The sequence below is a fragment of the Homo sapiens genome, chromosome 22 (genome assembly GCF_000001405.40).
Source record: "Homo sapiens chromosome 22, GRCh38.p14 Primary Assembly".
NCBI classification, from domain to species: domain Eukaryota; kingdom Metazoa; phylum Chordata; class Mammalia; order Primates; family Hominidae; genus Homo; species Homo sapiens.
Genome location: NC_000022.11, coordinates 22272310 through 22288295, shown reverse-complemented (window position 1 = coordinate 22288295; position 15986 = coordinate 22272310). Strand labels below are relative to the sequence as shown.

The following is a 15986-nucleotide window of genomic DNA, read 5'->3' as shown; positions in this document are numbered from 1 at the left end:
TGGTGGCTCATACCTGTAATCCCAACATTTTGAGAGGCCACGTTTGGAGAATCATTTGAGTCCAGGAGTTGACCAGCCTGGGCAACATAGTGAGACCTTGTCCTTATTAAATAAATAAATAAATAAATAGGTTGGGCACTGTGGCTCATATCTGTCATCCCAGCATTTTGGGTTGCCAATGCAGGAGGATTGCTTGAGCCCAGGAGTTTGAGACCAGCCTGGGCAGAATAGCAAGACTCCATCTCTACAAATAATAAAATATTAACCAGGTGTGGTGGTGTGCACCTGGGGTCCCAGCCACCTGGGAGGCTAAGGTGGGAGGTTTGCTCGAGGCTGCAGTGAACTGTGAATGCACCACTGCATTCCAGCCTAGGCCACAGAACAGGACCTTGTCTATAAATAAAGAAATAAGTAAAAATATAAATAAAAATAAGTAAAAAGAAATATAAGTAAATATAAATATAAATACATATAAATATAAAAATGCATACATGAAAAGAAACAATTTTTAAATTTAACATCACTGAGGGCATCCTATCCATTTCATTTCATGATTCCATTACATCATTTCACTTAGATGAAATGATAAGATGACTTGAGATGAGATGAAATGACGAAATGATGAGATGAGATGAGATGATGAGATGAAATTTTGAGATGAAATGGTGAGTAGAAACGATGAGATGAAATGATGAGACGAAATGACAAAATTGAAAAGAAATTGAAAGGAGATGAGATGAGATGAAATGAGATGAAATGATGAGATGATGGATGAAATGATGAGATGAAACGAGATGAAATGATGAGATGAAATGAAATAATGAAATGATATGAAATAATGAAATTGAAATGAGATGAGATGAGATGAAATAATGAGATAAAATGATGAGATGAAATGAGATGAATGATGAGATGAAATGATGAGATGAAATGAGATGAAAAATGAGATGAAATGAAATAATGAAATGAGATGAAATGAAATGAAATAATGAAAGGAAATTATGAAATGTAATGATGAAATTGAAATGAAATTGAAATGAGTTGAAATGATGAGATGTAATGATGAAATGAAATGATGAGATGAGATGAAATGAGATGCAATAATGAGATGAAATGCGATAACGAGATGAGATGAGATGAAATCATGAGATGAAATGATGAAATGAAATGATGGATGAAATGATGAGATGAAATGTAATGAGATGAAATGACAAATGAAATAATGAAATGAGATGAAATGAAATAATGAAATGATGAGATGAGAAGAAATGATGAGATGAAATGATGAAATGATGAGATGAGATAAAATGAGATGAAATGATGAGATGAAATGATGAGATGAAATGAAATGATGAGATGAGATGAAATATGAGATGAAATGACATAATGAAATGAAATGATGAAATGGAATAATGAAATGGAAATGATGAGATGAGATGCAATGAGTTGAAATGAGATGAAATGATGAAATGATGAGATGAAACGATGAGATGTGATGAAATGATGACATGAAATGATGACATAAAATGAGATGAAATGAGATGTAATGATGAAATGAGATGAGATGAAATGAGATGAAATGATGAGATGAGATAAAATGATGATATGAAATGAGATGAGTGATGAGATGAAATGATGAGATGAGATGATGAGATGAAATGATGAGATGAACTGATGAGATGAAATGAAATGAAATAATGAAATTGAAATAAAATTGAAATGAGATGAAATGATAAGATGAGATGATGAAATAAAATGATGAAATGATGAGATGAAATGATGAGATGAGATGACATGAAATAATGAAATGAAATAATGACATGAAATTGAAATGAGATGAGAAGATATGAGATGAGATGAAATGATGAAATGATAAGATGAAAAGAGTTGATGAGATGATGAGATAAAATGATGAGATGAAAGATGAGATGAAATGATGAGATGAAAGATGAGATGAAATGATGAGATGAAATGGGATGAAATGAAATTAGACGAAATGTAATGAGATGAAATGAAATGACATAAATGAAAAAATGAAATGAAATAATGAAATGAGGTGAAATTAAATGAGATGATGAAATTAAATGATGAAATGAAATGATGAAATGGAAATGATGAGATGAAATGCCGAGATGAATGATGGATTTGAAATGATGAGATGCAATGATGAGATGAAATCATGAAATCATGAGATGAGATGAGATGTAATGATGAGAGGAAATGATGAGATGTAATGAAATCCCCCGCACTGCATCCGATGAAATGAAATAATGCAAGGAAATTGAATTGACCCTATCACCCGGAATGAGCTAAAATGAGATGAAATAAGAAATGATGTTTTGTTTTGTTGACATGCTGAGGTGAGATGAGATGAGATGAGACGAAAGATGAGATGAGATGAGACGAAACGATGAGATGAAATGAAAGGAAGAGATGAAAGGCCGAGATGAAATGATGAGATGAGGTGAGATGAAATGAGATGAAACAAGATGAAATGATGAAATGATGAGATGAGAAGAAATGAGATGAAATGAGATGAGATAAAATGATGAGATGAAATGAAGTGAAATGAAATGAAATAATGAAATGAAATTGAAATGAGATGAGATGAAATGAGATAAAATGATGAGATGAAATGATGAGAAGAAATGAGATGAAATGATGAAATGATGAGATGAGATGATGAGATGAAAAATGATGAGATGAAATGGTGAGATGAAATGAAATGAAATAATGAAATGAGATGAAATGAAAAGAAATGATGATATTGAAATGAAATTGAAAGATGAGATGAAATGAAATGTTGAAATGAAATGATGAAATGAGATGTGACATGAAATGATGAGCTGAAATGATGAGATGAAATGAAGTGAAATGAGATTAGATGATGAGATGAAAAATGATGAGATGAAAAATGAGATGAAATGATGAATTGAGATGAGATGAGATGAAATAATGAAATTAGGTGAAATAATGAAATGAGATGAAATAATGAAATGAAATTGAAATGAGATGAGAAGAAATGAGATGAAATGTTGAAAGGAGGAAATGATGAGATGAGGAGATGAAATGATGAGATGAAATGAATTGAGATGAAATGATGAGATGAAAAATGATATGAAAAATGATATAAAAAATATGAGATGAAATGAAATGAGATGATATGAAATGACATAATGAAATAAATGAAATTAGATGAAATGAAATGAAATAGTGAAATGAAATGATGAAATGAAATAATGAAAATGAAATGGAAATGAGATGAGATGAGATTTGATGAAATGAGATGATATGAAATGATGGGATGAGATGAGATGAGATGAAATGATGAGATAAAATGATGAGATGAAATGATGAGATAAAATGATGAGATGAAATGATGAGGTGAAGTGATGCACTGTCACGTGTGTGTCTATTCTTTTTCCCAACCAACAAAAATTATAAATCATTAATTTTTTATTATTTAAGAATATTCTTAAGAGTTGAAGGAAAAATAATATCTGTACATTATGGGTTACAATGTAAGTATAAATAATACATAAATATATTAAAACTTACAAAGAATATGTTTTGGAATCGAATATACCATGCTTCTGTGATGACAGTTATTTCATGCTGGTTGTCACAATTTTACATGAAAAACTAATGAAAAAATGTTTTTAACTGTTTCTAAAAATAACAGTTTCCAAAACAGTTTTACATTCGAAATATGAAAAAGATGTCTTTGTGTTCCTTAATCTGATGAGATTTTCACACTCTGCACATGATAATTGTTAGATTTTTATTGTGTTGATAAATTGTATATCAAAAAATGTTATTACCTCTTAAATTAGGATTTTTAGGTGATATAGGCAGAAAGGAAGGCAAGTTTTTATAACTTTGTCTAAATGAACTTTGTAAATGCCTGAGTATTAAAAGATAGCATGTCTATAAATCACAATGTATATATTACTGTATGACCTAGGACCAATCAAAACCATTACCTCTGATAACATTATATTGTGCCCAGTATAAAATAGATATAATAATACCTCAAACTTAAATCCAGGCATTGTCATTGAATATCTTAAGAATATGCAGCAAAGGTGCTTTTAAAAATACAAGCTAGTGATTGTACTAAATTTGTAAATCACATAGGATAGTGGGTCATTTTAAGAATATTATTTCAATCTATAAACGTGGATGTCTTTCCTTTTTTGTGTTTTCTTTAATTTCTTTCATTAGTATTTGTCATTTTTGTTGTCGAAATCTTTTACTTCCTTGGTTAAATTTATTTCTAAGTACATTTTTGTAGCTATTGTAAAAGGAATTGCTTTCTTAATTTCTTGTTTCAGCTAGTTTACTATCAATATATAGAAATGCTACTGATTTTTGTATGTTGATTTATATCCTGCAACTTTATTAATTTCATGTATCACCCTAAGAAGCTTTTGGTAGAGTCTTATTTTTTTCCGTGTATAAGATCACATTGTCTTTAAACAGGGACAGTTTGACTGTCTCCTTTCCAATTCAGATGTCCTTTATTTCTTTCTCTCACCTAATTGTCCTGGCTAAGACTTTCACTATGTGAAATATGATTGGTGAGAATAGGCATCCTTTTCCTGTTCCAGTAAAATCTTTTTCTTGTTCACAGTAAAATCTTTCACGTTTTCCACACTCAGTATGATCTTAGCTGTAGATTTGTCCTTTATGTCCTTCTGTGTTAAGGCATATATTTTCTATACTAAATTGTTGAGAGGTTTTTTGTCATGTAAGAATATTTAATTTTGCCAAACGCTTTTATTGTGTTTATTAATTTAATCATATGGTTTTCAGTATATATCCAAAGGAAAGAAAATCAGTATATCAAAGAGTTACCTGCACCCCCATGTTTATTACAGTACTATTCACAATAGCCAAGATATGGAATCAACAAAAGTGTCCATCAACAGATGAATGGATAAAGAAATGTGACATACATATATAATGGAATATTATTTAGTCATAATAAAGAACAAAATCCTGTTATTTGTGGCAACAAGAATGCAAGTGGAGGGCATTATGTTAGGTGAAATAAGCCTGGCATAGAAACATAAACACCACATAACTACGTGTTCTCACTTATGTATGGAAGCTAAAATTTTTAATCCCGTAGAAGTAGATAGTAGAGTTTTGGTTACCATATCCTGGAAAGAGTAGGAGAAAGAAGAGTATAAGAAAAATGTGGTTAATACATACAAAATTACAGCTGGAGAGAAGGAAGAAGTTCTAGTTCTCTACAGCACTGTTGGGTGACTGTAGTTAATGGGAATTTATTGTGTGTTTTCAAATAACTAAAATAAAAGATTTTGAATATTCTCACTGCAAAGAAATAATACATGATTTAGGTAATGGATATGATAATGACTCTGACTTGATCTTTACACATCGTATAAATATATCAAAATATCACTCTGTACCCCATAACATGTACATTTATTATATGTCAATTAAAGTAAATTTAAGGGGGAGGAGCCAAGATGGCCAAATAGGAACAGCTCCAGTCTACAGCTCCCAGCGTGAGCGACACAGAAGACGGTGATTTCTGCATTTCCATCTGAGGTACCGGGTTCATCTCACTAGGGAGTGCCAGACAGTGGGCACAGGTCAGTGGGTGCGCGCACCGTGCGCGAGCCAAAGCAGGGCGAGGAATTGCCTCACTTGGGAAGCGCAAGGGGTCAGGGAGTTCCCTTTCCGAGTCAAAGAAAGGGGTGATGGACGGCACCTGGAAAATCGGGTAACTCCCACCCGAATACTGCGCTTTTCCGATGGACTTAAAAAACGGCGCACCACGAGATTATATCCTGCACCTGGCTCGGAGGGTCCTACGCCCACGGAGTCTCGCTGATTGCTAGCACAGCAGTCTGAGATCAAACTGCAAGGCGGCAGCGAGGCTGGGGGAGGGGCGCCCACCATTGCCCAGGCTTGCTTAGGTAAACAAAGCAGCCGGGAAGCTCGAACTGGGTGGAGCCCACCACAGCTCAAGGAGGCCTGCCTGCCTCTGTAGGCTCCACCTCTGGGGGCAGGGCACAGACAAAAAGACAGCAGTAATCTCTGCAGACTTAAATGTCCCTGTCTGACAGCTTTGAAGAGAGCAGTTGTTCTCCCAGCACGCAGCTGGAGATCTGAGAACGGGCAGACTGCCTCCTCAAGTGGGTCCCTGACCCCTGACCCCAGAGCAGCCTAACTGGGAGGCACCCCCCAGCAGGGGCACACTGATACCTCACACGGCAGGGTATTCCAACAGACCTGCAGCTGAGGGTCCTGTCTGTTAGAAGGAAAACTAACAAACAGAAAGGACATCCACACCAAAAACCCATCTGTACATCACCATCATCAAAGACCAAAAGTAGATAAAACCACAAACATGGGGAAAAAACAGAACAGAAAAACTGGAAACTCTAAAAAGCAGAGCGCTCTCCTCCTCCAAAGGAACGCAGTTCCTTACCAGCAACAGAACAAAGCTGGATGGAGAATGACTTTGATGAGCTGAGAGAAGAAGGCTTCAGACGATCAAATTACTCTGAGCTACGGGAGGACATTCAAACCAAAGGCAAAGAAGTTGAAAACTTTGAAAAAAATTTAGAAGAATGTATAACTAGAATAATCAATACAGAGAAGTGCTTAAAGGAGCTGATGGAGCTGAAAACCAAGTCTCCAGAACTACGTGAAGAATGCAAAGCCTCAGGAGCTAATGTGATCAACTGGAAGAAAGAGTATCAGCGATGGAAGATGAAACGAATGAAATGAAGCAAGAAGGGAAGTTTAGAGAAAACAGAATTAAAAGGAATGAGCAAAGCCTCCAAGAAATATGGGACTATCTGAAAAGACCAAATCTATGTCTGATTGGTGTACCTGAAAGTGATGGGGAGAATGGAACCAAGTTGGAAAACACTCTGCAGGATATTATCCAGGAGAACTTCCCCAATCTAGCAAGGCAGGCCAACGTTCATATTCAGGAAATACAGAGAACGCCACAAAGATACTCCTCAAGAAGAGCAACTCCAAGACACATAATTGTCAGATTCACCAAAGTTGAAATGAAGGAAAAAATGTTAAGGGCAGCCAGAGAGAAAGGTCGGGTTACCCTCAAAGGGAAGCCCATCAGACTAACAGCGGATCTCTTGGCAGAAACCCTACAAGCCAGAAGAGAGTGGGGGCCAATATTCAACATTCTTAAAGAAAAGAATTTTCAACCCAGAATTTCATATCCAGCCAAACTAAGCTTCATAAGCGAAGGAGAAATAAAATACTTTACAGACAAGCAAATGCTGAGAGATTTTGTCACCACCAGGCCTGCCCTAAAAGAGCTCCTGAAGGAAGCGCTAAACATGGAAAGGAACAACCAGTACCAGCCACTGCAAAATCATGCCAAAATGTAAAGACCATCAAGACTAGGAAGAAACTGCATCAACTAACAAGCAAAATAACCAGCTAACATCATAATGACAGGATCAAATTCACACATAACAATATTAACTTTAAATGTAAATGGACTAAATGCTCCAATTAAAAGACACAGACTGGAAAATTGGATAAAGAGTCAAGACCCATCAGTGTGCTATATTCAGGAAACCCATCTCACATGCAGAGACACACATAGGCTCAAAATAAAAGGATGGAGGAACATCTACCAAGCAAATGGAAAACAAAAAAAGGTAGGGGTTGCAATCCTAGTCTATGATAAAACAGACTTTAAACCAACAAAGATCAAAAGAGACAAAGAAGGCCATTACATAATGGTAAAGGGATCAATTCAACAAGAAGAGCTAACTATCCTAAATATATATGCACCCACTACAGGAGCACCAAGATTCATAAAGCAAGTCCTGAGTGACCTACAAAGAGACTTTAGACTCCCACACATTAATAATGGCAGACTTTAACACCCCACTGTCAACATTAGGCAGATCAACGAGACAGAAAGTCAACAAGGATACCCAGGAATTGAACTCAGCTCTGCACCAAGCGGACCTAGTAGACATCTACAGAACTCTCCACCCCAAATCAACAGAATATACATTTTTTTCAGCACCACACCACACCTATTCCAAAATTGACCACATACTTGGAAGTAAAGCTCTCCTCAGCAAATGTAAAAGAACAGAAATTATAACAAACTATCTCTCAGACCACAGTGCAATCAAACTAGAACTCAGGATTAAGAATCTCACTCAAAACCGTTCAACTACATGGAAACTGAACAACCTACTCCTGAATGACTACTGGGTACATAATGAAATGAAGGCAGAAATAAAGATGTTCTTTGAAACCAACGAGAACAAAGACACAACATACCAGAATCTCTGGGACGCATTCAAAGCAGTGTGTAGAGGGAAATTTATAGCACTAAATGCCCACAAGAGAAAGCAGGAAAGATCCAAAATTGACACCCTAACCTCACAATTAAAAGAACTAGAAAAGCAAGAGCAAACACATTCAAAAGCTAGCAGAAGGCAAGAAATAATTAAAATCAGAGCAGAACTGAAGGAAATAGAGACACAAAAAAACCATTCAAAAAATTAGTGAATCCAGGAGCTGGTTTTTTGAAAGGATCAACAAAATTGATAGACCGCTAGCAAGACTAATAAAGAAAAAAGAGAAGAATCAAATAGACGCAATAAAAAATGATAAAGGATATCACCACCGATCCCACAGAAATACAAACTACCATCAGAGAATACTACAAACACCTCTACGCAAATAAACTAGAAAATCTAGAAGAAATGGATAAATTCCTCGACACATACACTCTCCCAAGACTAAACCAGGAAGAAGTTGAATCTCTGAATAGACCAATAACAGGATCTGAAATTGTGGCAATAATCAATAGCTTACCAACCAAAAAGAGTCCAGGACCAGATGGATTCACAGCCGAATTCTACCAGAGGTAGAAGGAGGAGCTGGTACCATTCCTTCTGAAACTATTCCAATCAATAGAAAAAGAGGGAATCCTCCCTAACTCTTTTTATGAGGCCAGCATCATTCTGATACCAAAGCCAGGCAGAGACACAACAAAAAAAGAGAATTTTAGACCAATATCCTTGATGAACATTGATGCAAAAATCCTCAATAAAATACTGGCAAAATGAATCCAGCAGCACATCAAAAAGCTTATCCACCATGATCAAGTGGGCTTCATCCCTGGGATGCAAGGCTGGTTCAATATGCGCAAATCAATAAATGTAATCCAGCATATAAACAGAGCCAAAGACAAAAACCACATGATTATCTCAATAGATGCAGAAAAAGCCTTTGACAAAATTCAACAACCCTTCATGCTAAAAACTCTCAATAAATTAGGTATTGATGGGACGTATTTCAAAATAATAAGAGCTATCTATGACAAACCCACAGCCAATATCATACTGAATGGGCAAAAACTGGAAGCATTCCCTTTGAAAACTGGCACAAGACAGGGATGCCCTCTCTCACCACTCCTATTCAACATAGTGTTGGAAGTTCTGGCCAGGGCAGTTAGGCAGGAGAAGGAAATAAAGGGTATTCAATTAGGAAAAGAGGAAGTCAAATTGTCCCTCTTTGCAGATGACATGATTGTATATCTAGAAAACCCCATCGTCTCAGCCCAAAATCTCCTTAAGCTGATAAGCAACTTCAGCAAAGTCTCAGGATACAAAATCAATGTACGAAAATCACAAGCATTCTTATACACCAACAACAGACAAACAGAGAGCCAAATCATGAGTGAACTCCCATTCACAATTGCTTCAAAGAGAATAAAATACCTAGGAATCCAACTTACAAGGGATGTGAAGGACCTCTTCAAGGAGAACTACAAACCACTGCTCAACAAAATAAAAGAGGATACAAACAAATGGAAGAACATTCCATGCTCATGGGTAGGAAGAATCAATATCGTGAAAATGGCCATACTCCCCAAGGTAATTTACAGATTCAATGCCATCCCCCTCAAGCTACCAATGCCTTTCTTCACAGAATTGGAAAAAACTACTTTAAAGTTCATATGGAACCAAAAAATAGCCCACATCGCCAAGTCAATCCTAAGCCAAAAGAACAAAGCTGGAGGTATCACACTACCTGACTTCAAACTATACTACAAGGCTACAGTAACCAAAACAGTATGGTACTGGTACCAAAACAGAGATATAGATCAATGGAACAGAACAGAGCCCTCAGAAATAACGCCACATATCTACAACTATCTGATCTTTGACAAACCTGAGAAAAACAAGCAATGGGGAAAAGATTCCCTATTTAATAAATGGTGCTGGGAAAACTGGCTAGCCATATGTAGAAAGCTGAAACTGGATCCCTTCCTTACACCTTACACAAAAATCAATTCAAGATGGATTAAAGACTTAAACGTTAGACCTAAAACCATAAAAACCCTAGAAGAAAACCTAGGCATTACCATTCAGGACATAGGCATGGGCAAGGACTTCATGTCTAAAACACCAAAAGCAATGGCAACAAAAGACAAAATTGACAAATGGGATCTAATTAAAGAGCTTCTGCACAGCAAAAGAAACTGCCATCAGAGTGAACAGGCAACCTACAAAATGGGAGAAAATGTTCGCAACCTACTCATCTGACAAAGGGCTAATATCCAGAATCTACAATGAACTCCAACAAAGTTACAAGAAAAAAACAACCCCATCAAAAAGTGGGCGAAGGACATGAACAGACACTTCTCAAAAGAAGACATTTATGCAGCCAAAAAACACACGAAAAAATGCTCACCATCACTGGCCATCAGAGAAATGCAAATCAAAACCACAATGAGATACCATCTCACACCAGTTAGAATGGCAATCATTAAAAAGTCAGGAAACAACAGGTGCTAGAGAGGATGTGGAGAAATCGGAACACTTTTACACTGTTGGTGGGACTGTAAACTAGTTCAACCATTGTGGAAGTCAGTGTGGCGATTCCTCAGGGATCTAGAACTGGAAATACCATTTGACCCAGCCATCCCATTACTGGGTATATACCCAAAGGACTATAAATCATGCTGCTATAAAGACACATGCACACGTATGTTTATTGCGGCATTATTCACAATAGCAAAGACTTGGAACCAACCCAAATGTCCAACAATGATAGACTGGATTAAGAAAATGTGGCACATATACAACATGGAATACTATGCAGCCATAAAAAATGATGAGTTCATGTCCTTTGTAGGGATGTGGATGAAATTGGAAATCATCATACTCAGTAAACTATCGCAAGAACAAAAAACCAAACACTGCATATTCTCACTCATAGGTGGGAATTGAACAATGAGATCACATGGACACAGGAAGGGGAATATCACACTCTGGGGACTGTTGTGGGGTGGGGGGAGGTGGGAGGGATAGCATTGGGAGATATACCTAATGCTAGATGACGAGTTAGTGGGTGCAGCGCACCAGCATGGCACATGTATACATATGTAACTAACCTGCACAATGTGCACATGTACCCTAAAACTTAAAGTATAATAATAATAAAAATAATAATCATAGAAAAATAAAATAAAATTACAAAAAAAATAAAAAATATAGTAAATTTAAAAGAGAAAAAGATGAGGTAAAGGTAAATGTACAGAATTTACTTTTTCTTCTATAAAACCCGAGTCAGTACCAAGAAGAGTCAATTTATTAGTTTTCTAAAATAAAAAAAAATCAAAATCACCAAAAAAGAGCAATATCCAAGAAAACATTGAAAATGAAACACAACATTTAGTAAGAATAGAAAACTTGGGCACTGTATCACCCTGTTCCTAGATACCGATTTACTGGTGGCCATTTAAATAGAATTTTTTTCTATCTAATTCATTTATACTTCCAGAGTTCGAAATTACATTTCACCTGCAATAAATGAGATAACACTTGTAAATTATATGGCACTCTGCCTAACACACGTTAATAACTCAATACATGTTAGCAATAAACTTTTAGTATAGTAGTCAAAGTATTAATTTCTCACATTGCAATTTCCTTCAAAGACATGAATACAACCTTTCTAATGACTCCTTGTTCATCAAGATACCTCTTCAAATTATTCTATTTGTTTCATTCAGTATATTATCTGTGTATACCGATATTACACTCTTTTCTTTTTTTGAGATGGAATCTCATTCTGTTACTGATGCTGGAGTGAGGTGGCATGATCTCGGTTCACTGCAACCTCCACCTCCCAGGTTCAAGCGATTCTCCTGTCTCAGCCCCACAAGTAGCTAGGACTACAGGTGCACACCACCATGCCTGGCTAATTTTTGTGTTTTTAGTACAGCCAGAGTCCATGCCTGGCTGGACTCGAACTCCTGACCTCAGGTGATCCACCCACCATGGCCTCCCAAAGTGCTGGGATTACAGGCATAAGCCACCGCACCCAGCCTGATATTGCACTCTTGGATTTTGAACACTGAATATCTTTTTGAAAGATTACACCTCTTTACCTCTTTGTGCTTCAGAAATTATTTTCCTTCAAGTGTTCTAAGAGTCTAATGAAGAATGAAGTCATGTTTTATCACTTTTGTCCTTAAAGATTTCAGACATGCTGAAACTGATTGAAGTATCATTTGCTACCAGATAGATTAATTATCTCTAGTTGTAGGAGTGGATACATCTTTAATGGTATATTTTGGGTTATTGTCTTATTTTTGATGCAGTATTCTATAAATAATTTATTAAACCTGGCATCCTTGGGTGAGCATAGATTTTTCAACTTTGGTGTTATATTGTGTTTGCTTTTAAAAACTGCTTTTGAGGCCAGGTATGGTGGCTCTTGCCCATACCCAGCACTTTGGGAGGCCAAGGTGGGCGGATTACCTCAGGTCAGGAGTTCAAGACCAGCCTGGTCAACATGGCAAAACCATGTCTCTACTAAAAACACAAAATTAGCCAGGCATGGTGGTGCATGCTTGTAGTTCTAACCACTCGAGAGGCTGAGGCAAGAGAATCACCTGAGCCTAGGAGGCAAAGGTTGCTAGGTTGCTGTGAGCCAAATTCGCACCATTGCACTCCAGCCTGGGTGAAAAGAGCAAAACTCATCTCAAAAAAAAAAAAAAAACCCACCAAAAACTGCTTTTGAATGGAGTTGTACATACAATTTTTATGAAAAAAATTATCAAGTGCATAAGTTCATAATGGAAAAACCAATAATACTCCAGGCACAAGTTAGTACTAAAAAAATTATGTTGAATATTCTCTAATACAACATGCTTTTTCCCTTCATGAACAATTTGTGTTTTACTGAGAAGAGTCATTGTTTATGGTAGACATTAGACTACAGATGAATATGTACTTTAAACACTCTTAGTTGCTTTCTTAATTTTATATCTGCTGCTTTATGCTTCTGTTTATTTTCATTCTTTCCAATGTCCACATTCTAGTAAATTTGAATATTTTAATCCGTTTATATACTATTTAATATTGCTTGTATAGTTTAGTATTGTTAAGACTCAAAAAGGTTTACAGAAAGAAGAAAAAGATCAACATGTTATTAATCATTTAAAGATCATTTTAAAATCTTTGACCTTTATATTTTAATGAATAAAATGTTAGTAGTTATTAGTATAAAATAATTTATGTCTTTTGGACTTAGCATCCAGTATTTTTTAATAAAGAAAATAATTATTCTCTTGCAATATACTATGTTTATCTGGGTTTTGAAAAGTGATGTTTCCTAATATGAGAAAGCCATTTACATTTTTAAATCTACAAAGGCAAATGGAATGGTACTAAATTATTTACATAATAATGTTTAGATGGTGGCCCTTATAACATTCTTTCTATACTTCCTACAGAGTTGGGGATATGCAATCCTAGAATATTTCTGGGAGCTAATCCTTTAGCTTGATGAATGAAACAAGACTTTTAAATAAAATTAAACTTTCAAATTATCCAGGTAATGGGCCTGTCTTTTAATTCAATGGATATGGAGCATAATGAATTATCCCCTGTTCTTTGGGTAATAAGTTCTCATTCTTAACTTATAATACTCAAAATGTCCTTTAATTTTTAATTTTTGATAGTCATATCATTATCCCTAGGTATTTTAGCTTCTATCTTAATTCTAAAATAATTTTGAAATAGGAGAAAGTATTCTTTATTACTATATGTATTAAACATCATGGTTTTCAAATTTAACTGCAAATGTATCTTTTCATTGCTTCTTGATGACGCCCTTCACCCTATCCATATTGTCACTACCAAGTGGCGATTACTTTTCAGGTTCACATACTTATTCTTCAGAAAAATCTTCTCTGTGCCTTATAAAGAATATGATTGTTGGCATTCAAAAGCCAGCGAAGTATACATTATTAGCCTGTTGCCTAACTCATTTCTTTAAGAAACTACACTAATTACCCACATACTTATGTTTTTATTTCCTCATTATTTCTGGAGAAAACAAATACTGCTAACATGATATTTGTAAGAGAGAAAAAAGTCTTTTCTTGAAAAGTGCTGTCTTTGTAGTACTAACTTATAGTATCAACTTCTTTATAAACTCCTTATACACTTTTTATTCTGAGAGAAATAAAAAAGCTAAAAGTGAAATGACTTTTTTTACTCTCCATATTATAAGCACCCATCTTGGTAATTTAGGGTCTTTATAGTTAGGGTAAGTTGTATCATACCGAGGTTACAAAATAAAAAGTATTTTGTCTCTTTGGGCCTTTCCTTATTCAGTAATACTGTCAGTTTGGCTTTTTTTGTAGGTCAACTTATTGAACTCAGTATTCTGAAATAATATGTTTACTATCTTTTGATAAGCATTTAAAATATTAGATTTATTGTTACTCTTCTGCCTTTATTGGGCTGGAAGAATAATTGTTTCACTCCACAAAAGCCAAGTTGCAGAGAAAAACACATAGACATTAAACTGCAAAGCAGAGAAACTTGACTATTTTCTGCAATTTTAAAGTGTATATTGAATAAAACCATCTTTTTATTTTCTTTTTTGCTCACTGGCAAATATTAACAACATCAAGTGTATTATTATAATGTTATCTAGTTTAAAATCTCAAAGTTTTCATAATTACCATTTTAAAATATGTAAATAGGTGACCTAATGTTAATTTTTATTGTCTGAGACCATGTCTGTTATTTCACTCTTTAAATTCAATTAGTAATGCAGAACCTAGCACTTAGTAGATACTCAAAAATTATTTGCTGAATAAAAAAAGGTTAAACATGTAATATATACAAAATGTACTGGAAAAAATGCACCAAACAATTTTGTTATACCAGTTTAATGTAAATATTGCTTTTAAAAGATAATATAGTTTTCAGGTGTCTACAGTGATTTTGTAATATTTGTGCACATATAATAATTCCAAAAATGTAATCCAGTGGGGAAATATACTCTCTAAATTCTAGATTTATAATTTAGGGTTTAAATTATAAAATCATTAAATAAGACACAAGTGAAATATAGTCAAATATCCCCTTGGAAAAAAAATTAAGTGGTCTCTAAAGTGAGGTATTCATATATGTAATTTTACAATCCTCTAGTGATAGAATTAATTAAATACGCCACCAAATTGATTAATTCCTACAGTATTAAAAGAGAAGCACTAACAATGCCAGTGACCATGTAACATGGATTTAAGCTATAAGTCATAGAAATGTGATGAGAAACCTCAGCGCTGTAAAACAGAGGGTGGAGGAAAGCTTTTCCTCTCTCAAATGAGCTTTGCGAGGTATACTTCTTGAAGGATAGGAAGTTGAAGTGTTAGGACTTTTATGTCTATTCTACTTTGGCTTAGTTTACATGATTCTTAGTTTATTAGCCTATAAATGGCCAAGAAAACTTAAGGTTCAATAATTAGTTATAAATATGAAATATCCCCAATTTTTAAGATAAAAACAACTTATAAATGTATTTGTCTGTAAAAATTGTGTATATTTTTACAGAACATCTATTTATTTTTTTATTTTTTTATTTTTTTTATTATACTTTAAATTCTAGGGTACACATGCACAATGTGCAGGTTT

The 15986-nt window shown here is 34.9% G+C and overlaps 1 gene; it reads right to left on the bottom strand.

Moving 5' to 3' along the window:
• IGL (immunoglobulin lambda locus) overlaps positions 1 to 15986 on the bottom strand; it is an 896838-nt gene that overhangs the window by 634618 nt on the left and 246234 nt on the right.